General features: G+C 36.1%; 2 long non-coding RNA genes across 3 annotated transcripts in view; one reads left to right on the top strand and one right to left on the bottom strand.

Annotated features, from left to right (window-relative positions):
* LINC00571 (long intergenic non-protein coding RNA 571) overlaps positions 1 to 12,046 on the top strand; it is a 92,416-nt gene extending 80,370 nt beyond the window's left edge. Inside the window, exons 4-6 of the long non-coding RNA NR_047500.1 lie at positions 629 to 714; positions 1,410 to 1,467; positions 11,982 to 12,046. This is a non-coding gene — a long non-coding RNA (long intergenic non-protein coding RNA 571). The remainder of the gene's footprint in view (positions 1 to 628; positions 715 to 1,409; positions 1,468 to 11,981) is intronic.
* The window catches only part of LINC02334 (long intergenic non-protein coding RNA 2334), a 131,124-nt gene that overhangs the window by 2,709 nt on the left and 101,713 nt on the right, over positions 1 to 26,702 (bottom strand). Inside the window, exon 4 of one of the 2 annotated variants that reach the window (XR_941877.3) lies at positions 12,804 to 18,912. The exons of the other annotated variant lie outside the window; for it this stretch is intronic. This is a non-coding gene — a long non-coding RNA (long intergenic non-protein coding RNA 2334). Of the gene's footprint in view, positions 1 to 12,803; positions 18,913 to 26,702 lie in introns of those variants that run through there. 2 annotated transcript variants of the gene reach the window in all.

The following is a 26,702-nucleotide window of genomic DNA, read 5'->3' as shown; positions in this document are numbered from 1 at the left end:
TCAGGCACTACACAAAAGGAAATGCCTAACTGGCCAATAATAAATGAAGTTTCTCAACATTTTCAGTGGGGGAAATGAGAATATATATGTGCCTCTCCCCAAGAAAAATAAAACCAGTCAATAGGCAAAGTATATTAAAACTGTGAATTCATTTCTTAAGATCGGTGGAATCCTTTATCACAGAGCAATAAATTGCCCTTTGGTGAGTACTAAATGATAGTGGGTTTATGCAGAAGCTAATTTAGATAATTAATTCTACCACATAAGTGTTAGATACACACTTTTTTGGCACAGAGCAATAGACAAATACATATTATTCTGTAAAATTCATTTTATAACCCATCTTAATCAAGTTCTGTGTGCTACTATAAGATGCAATAGCATTAGAGCAGATTTTGGCATCTGAGAACCAATTATTTATGTGATTAAACAACCTTAAAACTCCCAGAGCATTTTAATAATCAAGAATGTTTTGTAAAACATTAGCATAATAAAAATGATCTTAGTGAAAAATACTAATATGAGAATGTAATGGATGCAAGACACTGTTCTAAGAGCTTTACAGGTATTAATTTATTTAATACAATCATACTATGAAGTTGGTCACATTACATTTTCTGTTTTACAGATAACAGTGTTGAGGCAGAGAAGTTTCATAATCTGCCTAAGATCATTGCATTTACAAGTGACGAACCCACTGCACAAATTTTGGCAGTATGTTTTTCATTAATTAGCATTTACTATCTGCATTTTAGAGTTAATTCTGTTTTATTGTTCTGTATTTATTTTCTCATCTTATTTCATCTGCAGTCTGTTCACTAATATACCATGAATTTTAAATATTAATAGTGAAATTAACAATGACTGGTAGTTTAAATTTTGGCTCACTGAAAATGAAATTGAAAATGACTTTGTGTAACTTTTTGTATTTTTGAATATTTTATACCTTCACTAAAGTAATGCAAATTCCACAAGCAGTAGAATAACACCTCACAAATCTTTCTGCTACATATACAACAAACAGAGAATTTATTAAAGTTTCTTACATTTTACCATTGCCAAATAAAAGCTGTTTGTAACAGGTTCACGTAATCTCATTAATTTTTAGACTCCAGTGGGAATAAAATTTGCAGATCATTAAATTTTTACTTCTTTTCTCTGAAATATCTCTAAATTGTTGTTTCTTTGTCTGTGGAAAGTAATAATATTATTTCACATTTTCACATAATATTTACAAAAATGCTACATTTTATAGCTATTCTCTCGATATGCCTGAATTTTAACCAAGAAAACAGTTTCTGAAGATTTCATTACCTCAAAAATATTTGACAGGCTTGCTCTTTATGATAAGTAGAATGATGAAGATGATGATAATTTTATTAACCAAAACTATTTTTTTTTTTTTGCAGATGACAGAAACTTCATCTGCATTGGCTTCGGCAAAGCAGAAATTTATTAGCTTACAAGGTAAATGGGGGAATTAAGTAACCAAATTTTGGGAAGAGTAAGGATGCAGCTAAGCCTTAGCATCAATGGGACAAGAATTTCAGACACCACAGGAATCTACCTCTATCATCTACCTGTCTTTGATATTGTTTAGAAATCTCTAATTCTGGCATGTGTTTTGCACATATTAAGGATCATATAACTAAGAACTCTCAGACCTCATGACTCACAGCATTTGCTACTTCGGAAGCACCCCTATTTCAGTTTTAAAATACTCAGAAAATCTATATGATGTTCCTACCTGGGTCTGCTGCTCGGCTTTGGGCAATGAGCTCACGTAATGGTGTCATGTGTGAAAATGGGACAGCCCATGAGAACCATAGGACTGGAATGATATAATAAGGAATGTCTAGGCTGGGCACAGTGGCTCATGCCTGTAATCCCAGCAGTTTGGGAGGCCAAGGCGAGCAGATCACCTGAGGTCAGGAGTTTCAGACCAGCCTGACCAACATGGTAAAACCCCGTCTCTACTAAAAATACAAAAAATTGGCCGGGCGTGGTAGCTCATGCCTGTAATCCCAGCTACTCAGGAGGCTGAGGCAGGAGAATCTCTTGAACCCATTTTGAAATCAGCCATTTCTGCAAGGCTGCCTGCTCCTTTTAGTAGAGGATGGTATTTAGATACCAATACCCAGAAACTAGATGTGCTCAGTGCTTCTATGGCCTCCCAATAGACGGAACTGAGAAATATGTACAAATAGCTAGATATGCAGATATACAGTTTGATTCTTACTGCTCTTGGGTGTTGTATTTGTGAATCCACTTCCTTGCTAAAATTTATTTGAAACCCCAAAATCAATACTCATGATGCTTTTGCTTTATTCATGGACGTGCTCAAAGTGACAAAAAATTTGAGACACCCCATGATGGTGTTCCCAGTTGAGATCAACTAAGGCAATTTTCTCCCTTCTTGTTTCCATACTATAAACAAGTGTCCCCTTTGTGATCTGTTTAGTGCTACATTTTTCACATCTTGATTTTTTGGTGATTTTGCTATTTAAAATGGACCCCCAGGGTAGTGCTGAAGTGCTGTCTAATGTTCTTAAACGCAAGAAGCCTGTGATATGACTTACAGAGAAAACGTGTTAGATAAACTCCATTCAGGTACGAGCTATAGTGCTGTTGTTGACTATGAATCAACAATATATATTCAATAAAGTGTCTTTAAGCAGAAAGACACCTAAAACAAGGTTATGTAATGATCAGCTGACAAAAACGTGACCAGAGCCTCACAGGAACCTAACTCTATATTTTCCCTAAAAACAATGGTTTTAGTTTCTGCTAATTCCATTTTCACAGCAACTTTTATAGAACATAATACTTCAAATAATAAAAGTCTATTATGTATATACTTTTATACACATACATATATAACCATTTCTATTTGTCTGTGTGTATTCGTGTCTGTGTATGTATACATAAAGCTCATGAGTTCATATCAATATTTATAATTTCAATGGAACACATTGGGGTTCTTTTCAACCATCTTTCTTTGCCATAATTATGAATCTATTCTCAGACAACAATGATAAACCTGATTCCCACACCATCAATATACTTACAATAAGTACAAAGTACAAGTATACATTGTGAATACTTATGTATACTCACAAATATTTTGGCATCTCTTTGGCCATACCCTTCACAGGCCCCATCTTGTCCATGCACCTGTCTGCTTCCTTGGCTTCAGAGCATTGCCTCCAAGTCCTCTACAGCACAACTTTCCCTTCAGCATCCAACCTTATGATGTACTGGGATATTGTGTTGCCCCTCTCCCCTCTCTACCTGTGCTGGGCTTTAAGGCTGACACACCTATAAACCCCAGGAGTGGAGGGAAGGTAAGAAGGAAAAGGGTGATGTTAAAAAAAAAAAAGATTGAAAAGGAGATAAGATGACAAGAACATGCAGTGAATATTTATGGCATGTTTACCTCTAAGGGAACATAATTTCACAAAGTTTCTGTTACAAACAACAAATGTATTTAATCTGTCAGTTATAAAGATACTAACATATATGAAAATTTGGACGCAATGTCAAAAGGTAGAGTGTATATTGAAGGGTAAAAATATAGAATGCAGGCAATTGTACACATATGCTAGTTAAGCTCCCTGTAAGTGCTATATATAGGACTGTAGTGACATATGAGGCAACCGCCAGACCTAAGACTTAGTTGCTTACTTCAATGGATCATAATATGTTAATCAAATATTGATTTTTAGTAATTATTTGAAATTTGGATTAAAATATTTATCTAAGTAAAGTCTCATAGATAGATGTTAAAGCAAAGAAAAAACACTACATAAAACATATAATTGTGCAGGTGAGAAAACTGCACATGTGTAATACATAAACCTGCCAAACATGTGAATTAGGTAGCAGACTTTACAAAACTGCTACAAATTAGAGGTGGCTAATACTTTAACATATCTTTAATTACTTTATATTGTATTAATAAATAGTGAAAAAGAGAAATTTTAAAATAACCTATCTTGTTTCTTACATTATTTAAAACCATTATATTATTACAAATCAGGTAACGTAAGTGCTGGAAGTCCAATTAATATGTGTGTTTCTAATTGTCTTCATTAATTAAATGTTTGAAGTCAAATGCATATATACAGCCAAATCCAGAGATTCTTAGAAAATTAAAAGCTTAGTGATCTAGTAATTTTGATGGATAAATCAATTGCATAGACGGGAAAATGAAGCCTTAAGGCAGCTCTTGAAAAAATGCAAGGCAAACAAGCAAACGAACGCCTTTTTATTCATACAGGTGTGTGTGTGTGTGTGTTTGATTGATTTTACCTCCTTGATTTTTTTTCAAGGCCTTGGCTAAGTATAAACCAACATATGTATACATGCCTTCTTTTTTATAGTAGAAATACACCTGCATTTTCATGAATCATACAAAATGTTGAGACACAAGAAAGAAATTGTGAAAAAGAGTGATAATACAGTGGATTCATTAAATGAAATTCCGGGCATTTATTTCAAAATGGCATTGAGATCAAGTGCATATTCTGCCATAATTTGAAATTTTTTATTTCGCATGTCATAATTTTAAAAATAATGTGACATATTAGTATTCATATTTTCTCAGGATATATGACCTATAGTGAAAAATTAAACTTGGAGTTAAAAAATTATTTGGAAAAAATAAAGCACTTAGTGAAAGATTAATATTCATTCATATAAAACATCTAAAATCTCAGCATATTTTCAAATAATTCTACTCTACATAATGCTAGAAGAAAGTGACATCATTTTAAGGATAGGGAAAAATCTTTACCTTTCATAGTTAGAATACATTGAGTTTCTGTTCTTTGGAAAAACTTCTCATATTTAGCATGCTGGTAGTACTAGTGTTAATATTAACAGAAATTATAAAAGTAGCAGAAATTAATGAGCACTTACCATGTTCTAAGCACTTTGCTAAGTACTTTATATTATTACCTCATTTGATCCTCATGATAACATTAAATGGATCTTATAACTGCTCCCATTTTACAGATGAGGCAATCGGAACAGCAGGGTTGAATTGACTTGTCCAACATGCTAGCATGTGGTGGAAGTCTGGTTTCAAACCCATTAAATAGGACTCAAGAGTCTGTGTAGGATGCCATTCTGCCATTCCTTCTCTTCATATCATTGAAATGTATGATGAATTATAATCATTTAAAATAAACATGTAACCTACTTTATTTCATGCATATTTTCTTAAAATGTTAAATAATTTTTTTCACAAACTCTATTACATTTTTGGTACACTAGGAATGCAGGATGGCTAATGAAGCAATGATAAAGTCTCTCCGAAAAGGGTAGATTTTTCCTTTATGAGTTATACTTTTTGAGTTGATATCTAGAGGATCTGTTTAAAGCAAAACATGTCAAAGACCATGATAAAACTCACAAGATAGTCATATCAATACACTAATAGCTACTCAGAGCCCTCACTGTTTAAAAGAAAATGAAAAGAGTGATGCACTTAGCTCATGTTGGTGCTTTAGCTGGACTTGAAATGCAATAGAACAACAAAGCTTTATTACTAAAGTGAAAAGATTTGAGGCTATCTCAAAAAATCCTGGAGAATATTTAAAATGTCAAGATTTTGTGATCATAAAGACATTACTGTTGACTTATAAAGTTGGGCAATTGTGTCCAAACTATTACCCACCCTCACCTCTGGTAGTTTCTACAGTCATTTGGTAGGAACCCCACAGCTTTTAACAGGCAAGACTTTCTTTGAGAAATATCAGTTTTACATTTTCTTCTTAGACAAATACTTAAAAAGTAGAAAGAAGGAAACCTACAGAAGGCTGGAAATTTTATATGTTTATATATTTGGTTTTTATAAAACAAATTATTTGATAGGTTTAAAAAAGCCCTGAATCTCAGATAGATTACATAGCTTTGCCAATGTCATACACCTAAATAAGAAGAAAGGAGATTCTAGCTTCAGAACCCAAGCTTCCTTCAATGAACTGCAAACTGCCAATAAACTAATGAAGGATCTCCGTAAGTAGATTTTCTCTTGCATTATATATTATATATCTAATGGCTGATTGGTGGGTAGAACAGTGTAGGGAAGTTGCAAACATTCCACAGAAGGTCGTCAGACTATCAGTAGTTTTGAGGGGCAGAATAAGGAAAACATAGGGCTTTGTAGGTATAAAAGCAGGATTTCCTAAGTATAGACATAGCTGTAGGGAGTTGCTTCCACTGTCTACAGGATTCAGTTCAACTTTGAGCTGGCTGACTTATGTATATGAAAATGTTTATTCACCAACATGAGCATGCTATGCCTTCTTTCCTCTGTGAGTTATCCTTTGTGTTTTTATTCTATAATTAGAAATTGATTTTTTTTCCTGGAAGAATCATTTGAAAAAAGCTTTTCTTTATGTATATATTTACAAACTAATCTAGAGAGAGGTATTTCTAAAAATGCATCAAAAATTAATAACACCTACTACAAATCATATGTGTCAAGGGGTAGGCACAACTTCTTATGGATAGGTAAAGAAATACATGGAATAGGCCCGATGCGGTGGCTCATGCCTGTAATCCCAACACTTTGGGAGGCCAAGGTGGGCGGATCATGAGTTCAGGAGATTGAGACGATCCTAGCTAACACAGTGAAATCCCATTTGTACTAAAAATACAAAAAATTAGCCGGGCGTGGTGGCATGCACCTTTAGTCCCCACTACTTGAGAGGCTGAGGCAGGAGAATCGCTTGAACCTGGGAGGCAGGGGTTGCAGTGAGCAGAGATCGCATCACTGCACTCCAGCCTGGGTGACAGAGTGAGACTCCATCTCAAAAAAAAAAAAAAAAAAAAATACATGAAATAATCACACTGTTAAGTTTTCTAATTTGCAATGGGTATAAAATACATGAGGATATAAAATGTACTCTTAAGTTCATTCTTAGGCATTAAAGAAAATGCCAACTCCTTTATAAGAAACTACACATTTGTCATAATAAGTATTTTTATAATAGCTTTTAATAAAATATGTATCCAGTAACAATTATTATCATCATGATAATAGTAATAAGAATAAGAAAAAAAGAACATTGATTGGGTGACTAGTATGGCTGGACTTATAACTTAATAGATTACTTCATTTAACAGTCATTCCAGATACCTGTGAATAATCAAAGATACCTAATAAGACAATTCCAAGAAAATGTGATCCTACCAATAACCCACAACCCCCCACTTCCCACTCAAGTGGCAGCCAGAGAAGACAATGGTGTTCTATGAGCATATCTTCCCACCTACCCACACCCAGGCCTCTGCTGGATGGCTCAATTGTGGATTTGTGACTCAATGACATTCAGTCAAACACTAGCCAGTCACCAGTGATGCTACATTTTGCTAAAATATAAGCTGGAATAGTGACATTTATTTGTCTCGAAAATTGTTGAACCATAAACTATTAAGAGAGAAAAAGAGTTCATACTGAGATCAGTAGCTCAACAGTCATGAGAAAAACTGGAAAACCTATGTTATGTTGTATATAATCCAAAGCAAGGTAAAAGTTTAAACTAGCAGTGAATAAGAGTTATAGGATGGATAAAGAGTAAATGAGAAAAACAGTTGGAAATAGACGAAAAAAGAGAATATACACAAAGAATAATCAAATCCCAAAAGTAAACGTCTCACATAAGCCTAATAGTTCATGACTCAAAGTTGCCTTGGGTTAAGAGTGAGCCTCTTGCTCATCCTGGCAACTGAAGATAACTGAAATTGAAATTTCCTCACAGGGATCTTGTGCTTTTATTGTCCCTTTATTATGAAATGATTATTTTAAAAGACAACTCCATCCCTACTCTGCTGTAAGGAATAGATAGTTTTACTTTACAAAAAAGAAATAATAATTCAGAGTGTAAACAAAGTTTTCCAAGGTCATGTAGAGTGTCTATTGCCCTCCATAATTCTGCACACTAACCTACTACACCCTATTGTTTTCCTATTATCAACTTTTCTTACTCTTTTTTGAAACATTGATTTAGATAGCTGGAAATGAATTATAGTTTTTCAACAAAATGTTACTTAAATTTAATTAATCAACCATTGCTTATAGACAAAAAGAAGTATAAGTGCTTGTTGAAAGGGCACACAATTTTAGCTGAATTATTATATTGTATTAATTTCACATAGTATATTTAACAAGGATATCTCAATGACAATGCTGCTAAGCATAAGTAAAATGTATAGATATTTTTATACTTACAGGTGATAAAGCAGAAGTAGTTAAATCCTAGTGTGAAGGGCTCATTTAGATATGTCTTTGTATTAAGAGAATGATGAACCTCTAAGATTGGAACTAATCCAAAGCCACCTCTAAGAGTGGAGCTAATCCACTGAAGCCTAGACCAGAAGGATTTCACGGTAAAACATGATATTGTTGTAATTATAGTTTCTCAACTTGGGCACTATTAACATTTCGGACCAGTAACACTTTGTTGAGGGAAGCTGTCCTGTGCATTGTAGAATGCTTAGCAGAATTCCTGGCCTCTACACATTTGATTCCGGTAACAATATCCTAGGGGTAAAATTGCTCCTGGTTTAAAACCACTCTATCTGATGTGTTTTCATACCAATATACCCTGTGCATTTGCATGAGTCCTAGAAAGAGAAGAGTATGCAAGTTAAAACTAATAGCTCTGTTTTCATTTTTTTTAAAGGGAGAGTGGATTGTCATTGAGACATATGTTCTGCTTACGTGGAGAGTAACTTGAGCAACGTTACCCACCTCTATGTGGAAACACAGGTTTATTTAGTATGTTGAAATTCCAGACATAACTATCTGTTCAGTAGCAGTGGTTCCTATAAGACAACAACTTCACTGTTCATTTTGTGCTAGTAGAATGGAACTTCACGGACCTTGGAGAAGCATACTCCAAACACTACAAATGATGGTTATACTTTGGAGAGATGCTAAGACAGCAGATGCTAAAATCCAGATACCTTTTGTGAATATGAGGCATATCTACTGGGAACACATCATAATAATCTGTTGAGGTAAACATTAAAGATGGTGGCAATAAGCAGTTGGAGAAAAAGAAAAATATCAACATGCAAGGCACCATTGTTTTCTTGCTTCTTAATTGTAACTTTTTATTTTTTGTGTATATGGCTATCACAGAGATTTAAAAATTAATCATTGAAAATCATTAATAGAATCGACCTGTGAGCATCAACACAGAAATGGATAAAGAAAATGTGTTATATACACAGTGGGATACCATTAAGCCTAAAAATGAAGGAAATCTTGTTATTCACAGCAACATGGGTGAGCCTGGGGGGGCATTATGTTCAGTGAAATAAGTCAGGCACAGAAAGATAAATATCACCTGTTCTCACTTATATGTGAGAGCTTAAAGAAGCTCAGCTTATAAAAGTAGAGGGTAGAATTGTTTAGTATTAGAGGCTTGGAATGGTAGGGAGGAGAAGATAGCTAGAAGTTGGTTAACAGACACAAAATTGTCTAGATGGAGAGAAAGTTCCAGTGTGCCATAGCACTGTAGGGTGACTATAGTTAACCATAATCTACCATATTTTCCAATAGCAGGAAGAGAGAACTTTGAATGTTTGAAGTGCTGGACATTCTTACTACTCTGAGTTGATTATTACACATTGCACACATGCATCAAAACATCACTCTGTATCCTACAAATATGTACAATATTACGTGTTAACTCAAAATAAGAAAAAATGAAATCTTGATTTATTATTATCTAATTTCAGTATTTTACCACTTTCCCCCAAATGCAAAAGCAATTTAGTACTATTTTTCAGCATCCCATTGTCTTGTATTTTACTATACATTTTATGAATCTGATACTACATGTATTTTTTCCCTAGTATTGATTTACATATACCTACACACATCCGTACTTTCACCTGGGATTCCTTTGTTTTAGTCCTTTAGTATTCACTTTAGAGAAGATCTGCAAGTTGTGAATTCCCTTAGCATATGATTGTCTCTATTATATGCTAAAAGAATATGATAGAATAAATAAAAGAATATGTTTTTCATTTTGAAGGATATTTTCACAGAGTATAGATTTTGAGGGGTTTATATTTACTTTTAATATTTTAAAGATATCATTCACTTATCTTCCAGCTTCCATCGTTTTTGACAAAAATTTAAACATCAGTCTTGATTTTCCTTTGAAGATACTATGATTTTCTAACTGCTTTAAAATGTTTCCCTTTGTCTTTGATATTCAGCAATTTGACTAGGACATATCTAGATGTGGTCATCTTTATATGTGTCCAAATGAGTTTCGCTGCGCTTTATAAACATGAATTGATAATTTTATCTGATTTGAAAAATTCTAGACAAATACTTTATCAAATATTGTTCCTATTCCATGCTCGTCTCTCTTTCTGAGCAATAACTATAATTCAAACTATTTTATCATGTTCCAAATATCTCTTACTTTATGTTACTGTTTTCTTCCCTGCTTCGGTATGTAAAATTTTTATTGACTTATCTTTGGGGTCACTAATTCTTTATTCTGTTGTACCTAATTTTTAATATTAAAAATTTTTAATTTTAATTTTAATATTAAATTAGTATTAAAATTTTAATATTATTTTAATGTTATTTTTATTAAATAATATTAATATTTTAATGTTATTTTTATTAAATAATATTAATATTTTAATGTTATTTTTATTAAATAATATTAATATTTTAATGTTATTTTTATTAAATAATATTATTTTAATGCTATTTTTATTAAATATTAATATTTTAATGTTATTTTTATTAAATATTTAATATTTTAATATTTTAAATTTTATAATATATAAGTGGAGTTATTTTGAATACTTTTTATTTCAGTTCCATTAACTAGATTATCTCTTGATCTCCTTTATAGTTTTTCTCTAAACTTTAGTTACCTACTTTCAGGATTATTTTAAACTTTTATTTTAGGTTCAAGGGTACATGAACAGGTTTGTTATCTAGGTAAATAGCATGTCATGAAGTTTTGAGGTATAGATTATTTTGTCACCCAGGTAATAAGCATAGTACCCAATAGGCAGTTTTTCAATCCTTTCCCCACTCTCACTGTCGTCACTTAAGTAGGCCTTGGTGTCTAACATTCTCTTCCTTGTGTCCATGTGTTCTGAATGGTTAGCTTCCATTTATAAATGAGAACGTGGTATTTTGTTCTCTGTTTCTACTTTAGTTTGCTTAAGATAATGGTCTCCTGCAGCATACATGTTTCTGAAAAAGACATGATTTCATGCTTTTTTATAACTGCATACTATTCCATGGTGTATATTTATCACTTTTTCTTTATCCAGTGCACTATTAATGGTCATCTAGGTTGATTCCATGTCTTTGCAATTGTAATTAGTGCTGCAGTGAACTTATGCATAAATGTGTCTTTATGGTGGAATGATTTATATTCCTTTCAGTACATACCCAATAATGGAATTGTTGGATCAACTGGTCATTCATTCTGTGTTAAGTTCTTTGAGAGATCTCTGAACTGCTTTCTGCAATGGCTAAACTAATTTATGTTCCCAGCAACAGTGTGTAAGTGCTCCCTTTTCTCCACAACCTTAGCTGCAACTGTTATTTTTTGACTTTTTAATAATAGTCCTTCTGACAGGTGTGAGATGGTATCTCACTGTGGTTTTGATTTGCATTTCTCTAATGATTAGTGACATTAAGAATTTTTTATATGCTTGTTGGTCACATGTATGTCTTCTTTTGAGTAGTGTCTTTGCCCACTCTTTAATGGGGTTGTTTTTTGCTTGTTAATTTGTTTAAGTTTCTTATTGATTCTAGATATTACACCTTTTTTGAATGCATAGTTTGCAAATATTTTTCACCATTCTACAGGTTGTGTGTTTACTCTATGTATTTGTCTATCCTTGTGTTGCTATAAAGAACTACCTGAGACTGAGTAATTTATAAAGAAAAGAGGTTTAATTGACTTATAGTTCTGCAGGCTGTACAGGAAACATGGCTGGGGAGGTCTCAGGAAACTTACAATCATGGTGGAAAGTGAAGAGGAAGAAGACACATCTTACATGACAGAAGCAGGAAGAAGAGAGTGAAGGGGTAAGTGCCACACACTTTTAAACCACCAGATCTCATAAGAACTCACTGTCATGAGAACAGCAAGGGGGATGTTTGCCCCTATGATCCAATCACCTCCCACCAGGCCCCTCCTCCAACACTGAGAAAACTATAATTTGACATGAGAATTGGGTGGGGACACAGAGTCAAATCATATCATTCTGTTGGTAGTTTCTTTTGCTGTGCTGAAACTCTTTAATTAGGTCTCATGTGTCCGTTTTTTGTTGTTGTTTTTACAATTGCTTTTTGTATCTTTGTCATGAAATCTTTGCTAGGGCCTATGCCCAGAATGCTATTTCCTAGATTATCTTCCAGCATCTTAATAGTCTTATGTTTTACATTTAAGTCTTCAATCCATCTTGAATTGATTTGTGTATATGGTGTAAGGAAGGGATCCAGTTTCAATCTTCTGCATATGGCTAGTCAGTTATCCCACACCATTTATCGCATAGGGACTCCGTTCCCCATTGCTTGTTTTTGTCAGCTTTGTCAAAGGTAATCTAAATGGTTGTAGGCGTGTGGCATTATTTCTGAGCTCTCTATTCTGTTCCATTGATTTACATTTCTATTTTTGTACCAAACCCATGATGTTTGGTTACTGTAGCCTTGTAGTATAGTTTAAAGTTGGGTAACAGGATGCTTCTAGCATTTTTCTTTTTGCTTACTATTGCCTGCTATTTGGGATCTTTTTTGGTTCTACATGAATTTTAAAATAGTTTTTTTTTTCTAGTTCTGTGAAAAATGTCATTAGTAGTTTGATAGGAAAAGCATTGAGTCTGTAAATTGCTCTGGACATTATGGCCATTTTAACAATATTGATGCTTCTTATCCATAAGCATGGGGGGATTTTCCATTTGTTTGCATCATCTCTGATTTATTTGAGCAGTGTTTTGTAATTCTCATTGTAAACACGTTTCACCTCCCTGCGTAGCTATATTCCTGGGTATTTTATTGTTTTTATGGCCATTGTGAATGCGATTGTGTTCTTGATTTGGCTCTCAGCTTGGATATTGTTGCTATATAGGAATGCTACTTTTTGAACACTAATTTTGAATTCTGAAACATTGCTGAAATTGTTTATCAAATCAAGGAGGTTTTGGGTAGGGACTATTTGGTTTTCTAGGTATAGAATCATATCGTCTGCAAAAGGGGATTATTTGACTTTCTATTATCCCATTTGGATGCTTTTTTTTCTTTTCTTTTGGCCAATTATTCTGCTTAGGACTTCCAGTAGTATGTTTAATAAAAATAATAAGAGAGGGCATTCTTGTCTTGTTTTAGTTTTCAAGCGGAATGCTTCCAGCTTTTGCCCATTCTGGATGATGTTGGCTGTGAATTTTTCATAAATGGCTCTTATTATTTGAGTATGTGCCTTTGATGCTTACTTTGTTGAGAGTTTTTAACATGAAGGGACATTGAATTTTATCAAAAGCCCTTTCTGCATCTATTGAGATGATCATGTGATTTTTGTTTCTAGTTTTGTTTATATAATGAATTACATTGATTGATTTGCCTCTATGGAACCAATTCTTGCCTCCCAAGAATAAAGCTTAAGAGATTGTGGTCATTTAGCTTTTCAATGTGCTGCTGAATTCAGTTTGCTAATATTTTGTTGAGGATTTTTACATCTTTGTTCATCAGGAATATTGGCTTGTAGTTTTCTTTATTGTTGTTTGTCTGCCAAGTTTTGGTATCAGAAGGATGCTGGGCTCATAGAATGAATTAGAGAGGAATTCTTCCTCCTAAATGTTTTGGAATATTCACAGTAGGGATTATACCAGGTCTTCTTAATATGTCTGGTAGAATTCATCTGTGAATCCATCTGGTCCTGGGATTTTTCTGGTTGGTAGGCTTTTTATTACTGATTAAATTTCAGAACTCATTATTGGTCTGTTCAGGGTTTTAATTTCTTCTTGGTGCAATATTGGGAGGTTGTATGTTTTCAGGAATTTATCAGTTTCTTCTAGGTTTTCTATGTCGTGTGCATTTAGGTGTTCACAGTAGTTTCTAGGGGCTTTTTGTATTTTTGTAGGGTTAGTGGTAGTGTTCACCTTTGTCATTTCTGATTTTGTTTATTTGGATCTTCCCCCTTTTTTCTTTATTATTCTGACTAGGGGTCTATCTATCTAATCTATTCCTTCAAAGGATCAATTCTTATATTTGTTGAACTTTTGTACAGTTTTCTGCTTCTCAATATCCTTCCATTCAGCTTTGATTTTTGTTAATCCTTGTCTTCTGCTAGCTTTGAGGTTGCTTGCTCTGATTTCTCTAGTTCTTCTAAGTGTGCTGTGAGATTATTAATTGGAGGTCTTTCTAACTTTTTGATGTGGCATTTAGCAGTATAAACACCCCTCTTAATGCTGTTTTTACTGTGTCTCAGAGATTCTGGTATGTTGTATCTTTATTCTTCTTAACTTCAAAAAATTTCTTGATTTCTGCTTTGACTTTATTGTTTATACAAAGGTCATTCAAAAGCAGGGCTTTTAAAAATTTCCATGTAATTTTATGGTTTTGAGGGTTTTTTAAGTAATAATTTCTATTTTTATTGTGCTGTGGTTTGAGAGTGTGATTTGTATGATTTTGTTTTTGTTTGTTTGTTTTTGATTTCCTGAGGATTATTTTATGGCTAATTGTGTTTTCTCTTTTGCAGTGTGTGCTCTGTGCAGATGAGTAGAATATATATTCTGGTGTTGTTTGGTGGAGAGTTCTACAGATGTGTATTGAGTCCATTTGGTCAATGTTGAGTTTGAATCCTGGATATTTTTGTGAGTTTTCTGCCTCAGTGATCTGTGTAATATACTGTCTGTGGGGTGTTGAAGTCTACTACTATTATTGTCCAGTTATCTACATCTCTTCATAGGTCTCTAAGAACTTGCTTTATGAATCTGGATTCTCCTGTGTTGGATGCATATATATTTACAATAGTAACATCTTTCTGTTGTATTGAACCCTTTACTATTCTGTAATGTCTTCCTTTGTCTTTCTTGATCATTGTTGGTTTAAAGTCTGTTTTGACTGAAATTCGACTGTCAACCCCAGCTATTTTCTGTTTTCCATTGGCTTGGTAGATTTTTCTTCATCCCTTTACTTTAAGCCTATGGATCCATGTGAGATATGTCTGTTGAAGACAGCATACAGTTGGATCATGCTTTTTTTTTTTTTTTTTTTTTTTTTTTTTAGGCTGAAGCGCAGTGGCATGATCTCAGCTCACTGCAACCTCTGCCTCCTGGGTTCAACTGATCCGCCCGCCTCAGCCTCCCTAGTACCTGGGACTATAGATGAGCACCACCATGTCCAGGGCTAATTTTTGTATTTTAATAGAGATGGGGTTTCACCATGTTGGCCAGACTGGTCTTGAATTCTTGATTCACCTGTGTCAGCTTCCCAAAGTGCTGAGATTACAGGCATGAGTCACCTGCCTGGCCAGGGTCTTGCTCTTTATCCAACTTGCCACTCTGTGACTTTTCATTGGGGCACTTAGCCCCTTCACTTTCAAGGTTAATATTGGTATTTGCTGATTTGATCCTGTCATTGTGCTGTTAGCTGGTTATTATGCAGCTTTATTTGTGTGGTTGCTTTACAGTGTCAATGGTCTACGTTTTTAGTGTGCTTTTGCAGTGGTCAGTAACAGTCTTTCTGTTCTATATTTGGCACTTGCTTCAGGATCTCTTATAGAGCATGTCTGGTGGTACTGAATTCCCTTAGCATTTGCTTGTCTGAATAGGATCTTATTTCTCCTTCGCTAATGAAACTAAGTTTGGCTAGATATGAGATTCTTGGTTGAAATTTCTTTTCCTTAATAATGCTGAATACACACTCCTAATCTCTTCTGGCTTGTGGGATTTCTGCTGAATGATCTGCTGTTAGCCTAATGAGGTTTCCTTTGTAGGTGATCTGCCTCTTCTCTCTAGCTTCCTTTAACATTTTTTCTTTTGTTTTGGCCTTGAAGAATCTGACGACCATGTGGCTCGTGGATGGTCTTCTTATATAGAATCTCACAGGGATTTTCTGCATTTCCTGATTTTGAATGTTGTTCTCCATAGCGATGTTGGGGAAGTCTTCATAGATGATATCCTGAAATATGTTTTCCAAGTTGCTTGCTTTCTCCTCCTCTCTTTCAAGGATGCCAGTGAGTCATAGATTTGGTCTCTACATAATCCCATATTTCTCGGAGGTTTTGTTCATTCTTCTTTATTCTTATTTTTGTCTGACTGAGTTCAGAGATGTTGCCTGTGAGCTCTGAGATTCTTTCTTCAGCTTGGTCTATTCTGCTGTTAATACTTGCAATTACATTAAGGAATTCTTTAGTGTGTTTTTTAGCTCTATCAGATCAGTTTGGTTCTTTCTTATAATGGCCATTTTGTCTTTCAACTCCTGTATTGTTTTATTGTAATTGTTAGATTCCTTGGATTGGGTTTTGACTTTCTCCTGAATCTTGATGACCTTTATTCCTATCCATATTTTGAATTCTCTCTCTGTCATTTCCACCCTTTCTGCCTGGTTAAGAACCCTTCCTTGGGAACTAGTACAGTTATTTGGAGGAAAGAAAACACTGTAGTTTAGTTGTTAGAGCTCTTGCACCAGTTTTTTCTCATCTGTGTGGGCTGATGCTCCTTTAACTGTGGTGTAATTGAGTGCAGACTCCTTTTTTGAATGTTTTTTGAGGGCCGAGGTTTTGTGCAGGGTCTTTGTTGTTGAAATCTTGTCGTTGTTTTCACAGAGGGGGGTATATTAGCAAGCATTTTTGGAGTTGGAGTTTGGGCTATGATCCAGTAGATGGCACTGAAGTGTAATGGCCAGTAGGTGGGCTCTTGCTCCACCACGTGGCTCCTCTGTATTTCTTCATGATTGCAGCCATGCTCCCTCTCAGTGCTCTGAAAGTGTGGGCTCCCTTTCCCACTCCAGTGCTGGCTTAAGGTCTGGCCTTGGCACTCCTGGGCTGCACACTGCTGCTAGGGGCGAGCTAAGGCTTTATTTTCCCTCCCCAGCTTGAAGGCAACAGGGGAAGGGACCTTGGCAGTTGCTGTGGCAGAGGGCCTTTCACTTGTCTCTTGGGGCTCCACCCTAGAGAAATGCAGAGCCACTACTAATTGGAGAGATGGGCTTGGGATTGGGGCAGCTACATTGTGAACCCATGCCTGGAGGCCCTGCCTGGTGATGCGCAAGGGTGGCAGGGGTCTCACAGAGGAGACAGACTGGCCTCCTCTCCTTAGGGCAGCTGTCACTTCCTGGACATGTGGGTTAAGCACTCAAGGTCTCTGCCCCTTCCCCAGTCCAAGGGCAGCAAGGCAGTACCGCTGCAGTGGCAGTGGGAGAGGTGCTTTCCGTTGTCCCTGGGAGCCCTACTTCAGAGAAACGCAAGCCATTGCTACTGAGAATGTTCAGCCAGTGGGTGGGGTGGCTACGCTGCTAGCCCAAGCTGGAGGCTTCACTTGATGAAAAGTAGGAGGTCAAGGGCTCACCAGGAGGAACAACTGGGCTCCTCTCCATATCATGACTGTGTTGTGCTAGGAGTGTGAGTGAAGACCTCAGGCTGTTTGTTCTTTCCCCAGTCTGAGTGCAGTAAGGGCAGAACTGCTGCCATGACAGTGACAGAGGGGATGTCAATTGCTTCTGGGAGGCCCACCTCAGGAAAATATAGAGCCAATAGCAGTGGGAATTCTCATCCGGGGGTAGGACAGCTGCTCTGCTGTCCCCAACTAGGGGCCTTGCCTGGTGAACAGTGGTGAGTGGGGGCTTACGGGGAAGAGAGACTGGGCTCTTCTCCATATGGTGGCGATGGTGTGCTGGAGGGGCCAGTGTAAGGACCAAGTCCTTCGTTCTTTCCCCAGCCTGAAGGTAGTAAGGGCCATACCACTGCAGCTGCAATAGCAGAAGGCTTATGGATTGTCTTTTGGATTTTTCTCCTCAGAGAAACACAGAGCCATCACTGACAAAGCGTTCATGTGGGGGCGGGTTGGTTGTGCTGGGGGCCAAGGTCAAGAGGTGCTGCCCAGTGAAGAGTAGCAGGGGTGAGGACCCATGTGGAAAAGAGTCTGGCTGCTTTTCTGCAAGTCTGTACACTGTGCTGGGGGTCTATGTTAGTCCCCAATCACTGTGCTCACTCCCAAGACTGAGGGCAACAGGAGTGAGGGCTGTGGAGCAGCAAAAACAGCAGCCTGCCCATCCCCTCCAGGAGTTCCATGCCAGGGAAGTACAGATCTGTTCCTCAAGAGCCCAGGTGGGACTTTTGTGACCATGCTAGGATCCCAGGCCAGTCTGGCAACGGGCTGTGTAGAAGAGCCCCACAGTCCACCCACTGCTTAGCCCCATGGATTGTGTTCCTATTCTGAGGACATGCAAGAGAGCCTGTCCTCCCCCATTGCCGCAGCTGCAGCCATTGGTACCAGGGTGCCTGGGGATGAAAAGCTCCAAGGATTTCATGAGTGCCTGAGTGGCAGTTCTGCCCACACTCCATGTAGCTGTCTATGTCAGTCCAGAGGCCCTGGTGGGGCACGGGTGTCATGGGGGATCGCCTGGGCCCAGGGTTGCAAAGGTCTGTGGCAGAAATGTGACTCCCTGGGGACTCTCACTTACTAACCATGGTGAGGGCCATCTCCCGGCTCTATGCCACTTCTGGGTGAATGATTGTCCTGTCTCATTCTTCTGTTTTCTGTGTATTGTTTCCTTGATGAATCCCAATGTGTCCACCTGGATGGTCCACTCACCACTCTTTCTTCTCTTTGTGAGAGCAGCACACACCAGCTGCTTCTAGTCAGTCACCTTGAAAGGAGCTCATCTTTATTTATTTTTTTATATGCCTACGGTGGAAGATGTGGAAGATACATTAAAGATTATCTGAATTGTACTATCTTCCCTCAAAGATTGTTAATTATTCTCTGGCAAGTCCTTAAATTCAGGCACATCTTTTATTTATTTATGTATTTATTTTTTTAGACAAGGTCTTGTTCTGTCACCCAGGCTGGAGTGCAGTGGTGTGATCACTGCTCACTGCAGTCTTGACCTCCCAGGCTCAATGGTCCTCCTGCCTCTCAGCCTCCTGAGTAGCTGAGGCTACAGGCTCACACACCACCCCACTAATTACTGTATTTTTTGCAGAGATGATGTTTTGCCATGTTGCCCACCCTGGTCTCGAACTCCTGGACTGAAATGATCTGCCCACCTCAGCCTCCCAAAGTGCTGGGATTGCAGGTGTGAGCCATTGCATCCAGCCAGGTGCATCTTAATTTTTTCAAGGGTTAGTTTCAGGCTTTTTAAAGGTACATTATTTCAGCTTTCCTCTTACACCTAGAAGAGACATGACCCTTACTCCTAGGAACTAGGTCTGACCCTTACTCCTAGGAACTAGGTCTTACCCTTACAATGTGTTTCTACTGGAATCTCTAGCTAAATCTCACTATTCATCAAATTGTCTCCACTACAGCTGGAACCAGTGTCATCTTCTATCTATCTTCCTAATACTGTGTAGCCTCTGTGATTTCTTCCATGATCTCCAGCTTCTAGCTGCTATTCTATGCTTGGCCTTCTAGAATCTCTTCTTATGTATACAAATCTCAGCAGTTGGCCAAAAACCCAAGAAAAATTTTGGGGACACTTTATGGCTCCTTCTTTGTGGAATCCTGCCTCTTGATTCAACCATGTCAACCCCGTTAAGCTCTAATCTCTGTCTCCCCTGCCTAGTGAAATTGACATTCATCTTGGGTTCTATGTAGCAGCTTAGTAATTGGTAAATGCTCTTGGGGGAAAGCTATGTGTGATCTTAACTTTCTGTGTTTCCTGCTTTCAAAGACCGTAATCCACATTGGTTGCCTTCCAATGCCTGCAGTCATTGTACATATTTTAGCTGTTATATCATTAAGGAAAATCTTATATCCAAGCCATTTACTTTAACTGACACTATTTAAAATCTTAATCTAATATGGTTTGAAAAAATATGGTGTTTGCATGTTCTCACTCATAAGTGGGAGTTGAACAATGAGAACACATGGACACAGGGTGGGGAACATCACACACCAGAGCCTGTCAGGGGGTCAGGGACTAGGGGAGGGAGAGCATTAGGAGAAATACCTAATGTAGATGATGGGTTGATGGGTGCAGCAAACCATCATGGCACGTGTATATGTATGTAACAAACCTGCATGTTCTGCACATGTATCCCAGAACTTAAAGTATAATGATATGTGTGTGTATGTGTATATATATATGTGTATATATATATGTGTATATATATGTGTGTGTATATATATATATGTGTGTGTGTGTGTGTGTGTATATATATATATATATATATATTCCTAGAAAAAAATGGTGATCAAGGGAAATGGATAAATACAAAAAATAAAAAAGCACACAATATGTAATGCTAATAAAACATTCTTTGGCATATGACTTGGGCTTTTAATATATTCAATCCAATCTCCAGTTTTTATATCTTGAGAATTATATGAGAGATTAAAATTCAGAACTATGGCTCTAAGGTCATATAAATCTTTAATAAAATTAAATAATATCTAGTAGATTATACTTATTAAACTATACATGCCTCTCACTAATACTGTATCAGAGAAAGACTTTAAAGTAAAATAGATTTTTAAAAAGTAACCATCTTTGTATTAGGCTACTGAGAACATGAATTGCTGTCTTTTTCTCCTCTAAGGCATGCATCCATCGACCCAGAATTTTTACTCTCATGACTCAGTACTATCAGACATTACCTTACAACACTCTGATGAAGAAATATAAAATGTGTTTCTATTTTGAAGGGAGAAAAGGAAACTCAAAGGAGCTAGTTTGCTTGTGTATAATATCATATCTAGTTAGTTAGTAATGAATAAAATACTATGTATGTTTTTAAATTTTCATTATAGCACTCTTTTTAATAGGCAAACTGCTTATATTTAGCAGATGTTTTGTGTCTGTGTCTGTGTTTGTGGTGTGTGTGTGTGAAAGAGAGATAGAGAGAGACACACAAACCACACAGAGACATTAAGGTGGGGAATACAAGGCTTTATGATTAACCAGCTAACGTGAGAAAATTATTATCTAAGCAGAAGATCCCCAAAGATTACTATTAAACTAGGTTTTATAGGAGACGTTCTTTTGAATCTCTGGCCCCCAATTTAAGCAGGAGTTCCAGAATGCTGCTTCAGGAATCTTCCATAAGAAGAAAGCCTGTAGTTAGTTATAAGGGACTGAGGCTTGTTTTTAATAAATGGAGTTACCTCCTCAATTATGAACTAGTTTTCTTTTTTTTTCATTTTTTCTTTGCAGTATTGCAAACTTTGTATTTTATCCTAATGACAAGAATATCTTGAATAAGATATTTTTTGACTCGTTTTTTTTTCTCCTGGAGGCATAAATGAGCTAGAAAATAATCTAAACTCAGGCTTCAGACTGATAATTCAAAACCTAAATTTCCTAACCCTTAATTTTAAATTGGGACTTTTCAGCATGAAGATTATTGGATATGTACTATATCAGTGTGCTTTAAGGTGGAGATAGTGATAGGGCAAATTTAAATTTGTCTAAAGCTTAATTTACAAACAAAAATATATTTTTGGATTGAATTTAAAGATTCCTTTAAAATATGCATGTCTTCTCTCCCTTTTCCACCACCTGAAATTATAGATTCTCTTTATAGCAGTAGAGAACATGAGGCAGTACAAAACACATCAGTCTGTGTGTGCATAATCACACGCACATTTATTTTTTCCTTTCTATGTTGGTGAGTTGAAACAATCCTGCTGCTATGTCTCCTGGAGAAGACTGCTGTATTTTTTGGTGGGGGCTTACAAAATGAAGAGATTTCAATGTTCAAAAATTGGCTTTGCAGCTGTGGCATGCCACCTTTTATAAACAAGGAAAAAAATAGCTGCTTTTTATTTTTCTGGAAGGAAAATGCCACCTGTCATAGAGTTCTGTAGCCCCTGTTCATATTTTAACAAATAATTTTCATTTAGTTTTCCCTTTCCTAATGAAAGGTCTAAAGTTATTGAAAATGTAAGTAGTGCAGTAGGAAATAAAAGGAAGCTTAATTGTAAGAAACTACAAAAGGATATTTTAAGAAAAGTACAAAGCCTCCAAGAAATGAGGGACTATGTGAAAAGACCAAATCTACGTCTGATTGGTGTACCTGAAAGTGACAGGGAGAATGGAACCAAGTTGGAAAACACTCTGCAGGATATTATCCAGGAGAACTTCCCCAATCTAGCAAGGCAGGCCAACATTCAAATTCAGGAAATACAGAGAATGCCACAGAGATACTCCTTGAGAAGAGCAACTCCAAGACACATAATTGTCAGATTCACCAAAGTTGAAATGAAGGAAAAAATGTTAAGGGCAGCCAGAGAGAAAGGTCCGATTATCCACAAAGGGAAGCCCATCAGACTAACAGCTGATCTCTCGGCAGAAACTCTACAAGCCAGAAGAGAGTGGGGGCCAGTATTCAACATTCTTAAAGAAAAGAATTTTCAACCCAGAATTTCATATCCAGCCAAACTAAGCTTCATAAGCAAAGGAGAAACAAAATCCTTTACAAACAAGCAAATGCTGAGAGATTTTGTCACCACCAGGCCTGCCCTAAAAGAGCTCTTGAAGGAAGCACTAAACATGGAAAGGAACAACCAGTACCAGCCACAGCAAAAACATGCCAAACTGTAAAGACCATCGAGGCTAGGAAGAAACTGTATCAACTAAGGAGCAAAATAACCAGCTAACATCATAATGACGGGATCACAGTCATAACAATATTAACCTTAAATGTAAATGGGCTAAATGCTCCAATTAAAAGACACAGACTGGCAAATTGGATAAAGAGTCAAGACCCATCAGTGTGCTGTATTCAGGAGACCCATCTCATGTGCAGAGACACACATAGGCTCAAAATAAAAGGATGGAGGAAGATTTACCAAGGAAATGAAAAACAAAAAAAGGCAGGGGTTGCAATCCTAGTCTCTGATAAAACAGACTTTAAACCAACAAAGATCAAAAGAGACAAAGAAGGCCATTACATAATGGTAAAGAGATCAAGTCAACAAGAAGAGCTAACTATCCTAAATATATATGCACCCAATACAGGAGCACCCAGATTCATAAAGCAAGTCCTGAGTGACCTACAAAGAGACTTAGACTCTAAGGAATCCAACTTACAAGGGATGTGAAGGACCTCTTCAAGGAGAACTACAAACCACTGCTCAATGAAATAAAAGAGGATACAAACAAATGGAAGAACATTCCATGCTCATGGGTAGGAGGAATCAATATCGTAAAAATGGCCATACTGCCCAAGGTAATCTACAGATTCAATGCCATCCCTATCAAGCTAACAATGACTTTCTTCACAGAATTGAAAAAACTACTTTAAAGTTCATATGGAACCAAAAAAGAGCCCGCATTGCCAAGTCAATCCTAAGCCAAAAGAACAAAGCTGGAGGCATCATGCTACCTGACTTCAAACTATACTACAAGGCTACAGTAACCAAAACAGCATGGTACTGGTACCAAAACAGAGATATAGACCAATGGAATAGAACAGAGCCCTCGGAAATAATGTTACATATCTACAACCATCTGATCTTTGACAAACCTGACAAAAAACGAGAAATGGGGAAAGGATTCCCTATTTAATAAATGGTTCTGGGAAAACTGGCTAGCAATATGTAGAAAGCTGAAACTGGATCCCTTCCTTACACCTTATACAAAAATTAATTCAAGATGGATTAAAGACTTAAATGTTAGACCTAAAACCATAAAAACCCTAGAAGAAAACCTAAGCAATACCATTCAGAACATAGGCGTGGGCAAGGACTTCATGTCTAAAACACCAAAAGCAATGGCAACAAAAGCCAAAATTGACAAATGGGATCTAATTAAACTAAAGAGCTTCTGCACAGCAAAAGAAACTACCATCAGAGTGAACAGGCAACCTACAAAATGGGAGAAAATTTTTGCAATCTACTCATCTGACAAAGGGCTAATATCCAGAATCTACAATGAACTCCAACAAATTTACAAGAAAAAAACAACCCCATCAAAAAGTGGGAGAAGGATATGAACAGACACTTCTCAAAAGAAGACATTTATGCAGCCAAAAGACACATGAAAAAATGCTCATCATCACTGGCCATCAGAGAAATGCATATCAAAACCACAATGAGATACCATCTCATACCAGTTAGAATGGCGATCATTAAAAAGTCAGGAAACAACAGGTGCTGGAGAGGATGTGGAGAAATAGGAAATTTTACACTGTTGGTGGGACTGTAAACTAGTTCAACAATTGTGGAAGTCAGTGTGGCGATCCCTCAGGGATCTAGAACTTGAAATACCATTTGACCCAGCAATCCCGTTACTGGGTATATACCCAAAGGATTATAAATCATGCTGCTATAAAGACACATGCACACGTATGTTTATTGCGGCACTATTCACAATAGCAAAGACTTGGAACCAACCCAAATGTCCAACAATGATTGATAGACTGGATTAAGAAAATGTGGCACATATACACCATGGAATACTATGCAGCCATAAAAAATGATGAGTTCATGTCCTTTGTAGGGACATGGATGAAGCTGGAAACCATTATTCTCAGCAAACTATCGCAAGGACAAAAAACCAAACACTGCATGTTCTCACTCATAGGTGGGAATTGAACAATGAGAACATATGGACACAGGAAGGGGAACATCACACACCGGGGCCTGTTGTGGGGTGGGGGGCAGGGGGAGGGATAGCATTAGGAGATATACCTAATGTTAAATGATGAGTTAATGGGTGCAGCACACCAACATGGCACATGTATACATATGTAACAAACCTGCACGTTGTGCACATGTACCCTAAAACTTAAAGTATAATAAAAAAAAGAGAAGTATTTACATTGAATAATCAGAATTTTACAGGCAGGATGAATATTGAAATTTGTCTAATTTTCTCATTTTACACATAATGAAACTGAGGTTTTTATTAGTTCAACATTACACAGCTAAGTAGTGATAAAATCAAAGCTAAGACTCATTTCTACTAACCTCATTGACATTTTTCTTTACTTTAAATATCAAATCAGTATAAAAGGGTCATGTCCCAATCTCTTTCATTTTAATAAATGAAATCGCTTTCTCTTACCTATAAAATATCTTTGAACATTTTGCTATATTAATCAATTATATTGTGTTTTATTCTGATAGATTTTAGTTACTTGTCTGTAATAAACTAAGCATTTCACAAATACATTCTATACAAATATATTAGAAACTGTAAAAGGACAGAGTCATGTTTGCCTTTTATTTTAATCTATTATATAATCAATATGTGCCAAAGGAACTAGGACACAGAACATGCACATTAAATATATGTTAAATATAAATGTATTTAATAATTAAATATATCCTAAATTCTGGTGAAAACCTAACTAAAACATGCAAACTGACTTACAAAGGCTTATGCTTCATTGAGGGAGACAAAACAATTAAAAATTAAATATCACACAAGATTTTATAAAACTATTTATAAACAGACCATTTATGTGAAAGTTGCAATAATACTGAGTTGAAGGAGATTTTCCAAATATCTACCTGTAACCATAATTTTATATTCTTATGAATGAACTATTATTTAATAGTTCCAGTTACACTTGACTGCATAATACATTTTACATTTTTTTAGTTCTTTCAAAACTAATTTAAGTGTTATCTGAAGTTATGACTGTTAAAAATGTTTCAAGGGAGTATATAATGTTTTTGCAATATGGCATAGTTTTGATTCACATGAAATTGATGAATAATCAATGAATAAATACACATATCCAAGTGGCTTCTGGGAACTCATACAGAGAAATTCTGTTAATATACTAAAGTTGATCATATGTGGTGGACAACTGGAAAGGAGGAGTTAGAGTGATTTCGGCTTAGATTTTGGCAACTCTAGATGTTAACATGCGGATCAGATTTGACTGAGGTATCTATGTTGGCTTCACATTAATTCTTAAATAATAGATCTATCACCTAAAGGATATGAAATGCCCATCATTTAAATCTGGTCATATGCCACATTCTCTATGATGTATCACACTTCTTGAAGTGATCTTAGTAACCATCAAGTTAACTCTACTAATTGTCCATCTGCATAGACTGAGGGAGAGAGGTGAAGGAATTTGCCAAAGATAAATATAAAGTCAATACAAATAGTGAGCAGCAAGGCCAGGATAAAAACGCAAATCTACTCTATCTCAGATGAATATTGTTGTTTCTAAGTCATGTTGTCTAACTTGGAGTTACTGGATTGACTCAGAAACATAATGATTCAAATTAAGTTGAATAGCCATGATAGTGAAGATAAGTTCCTTGGATGATTGGTAGTACTACATATGTATGTGTATATATATATGTACATATATGTATACTACATATGTGTATATATATGTACATATATGTATACTACATATACTATTACTACTACATGTACTATATATTGGTAGTACTATATATGTCTGTGTGTGTAGTACTACCAATCATCCATGGAACTTTATATATATATATATATATATATATATATATATATATATATATAGTTCTGTGTGTGTGTGAACTAC

Source organism: Homo sapiens, chromosome 13 (assembly GCF_000001405.40).
Source record: "Homo sapiens chromosome 13, GRCh38.p14 Primary Assembly".
Lineage (NCBI taxonomy): Eukaryota > Metazoa > Chordata > Mammalia > Primates > Hominidae > Homo > Homo sapiens.
The sequence above is the reverse complement of the archived record's forward strand: the minus strand, read 5'-3'. Positions and strand labels throughout refer to the sequence as shown.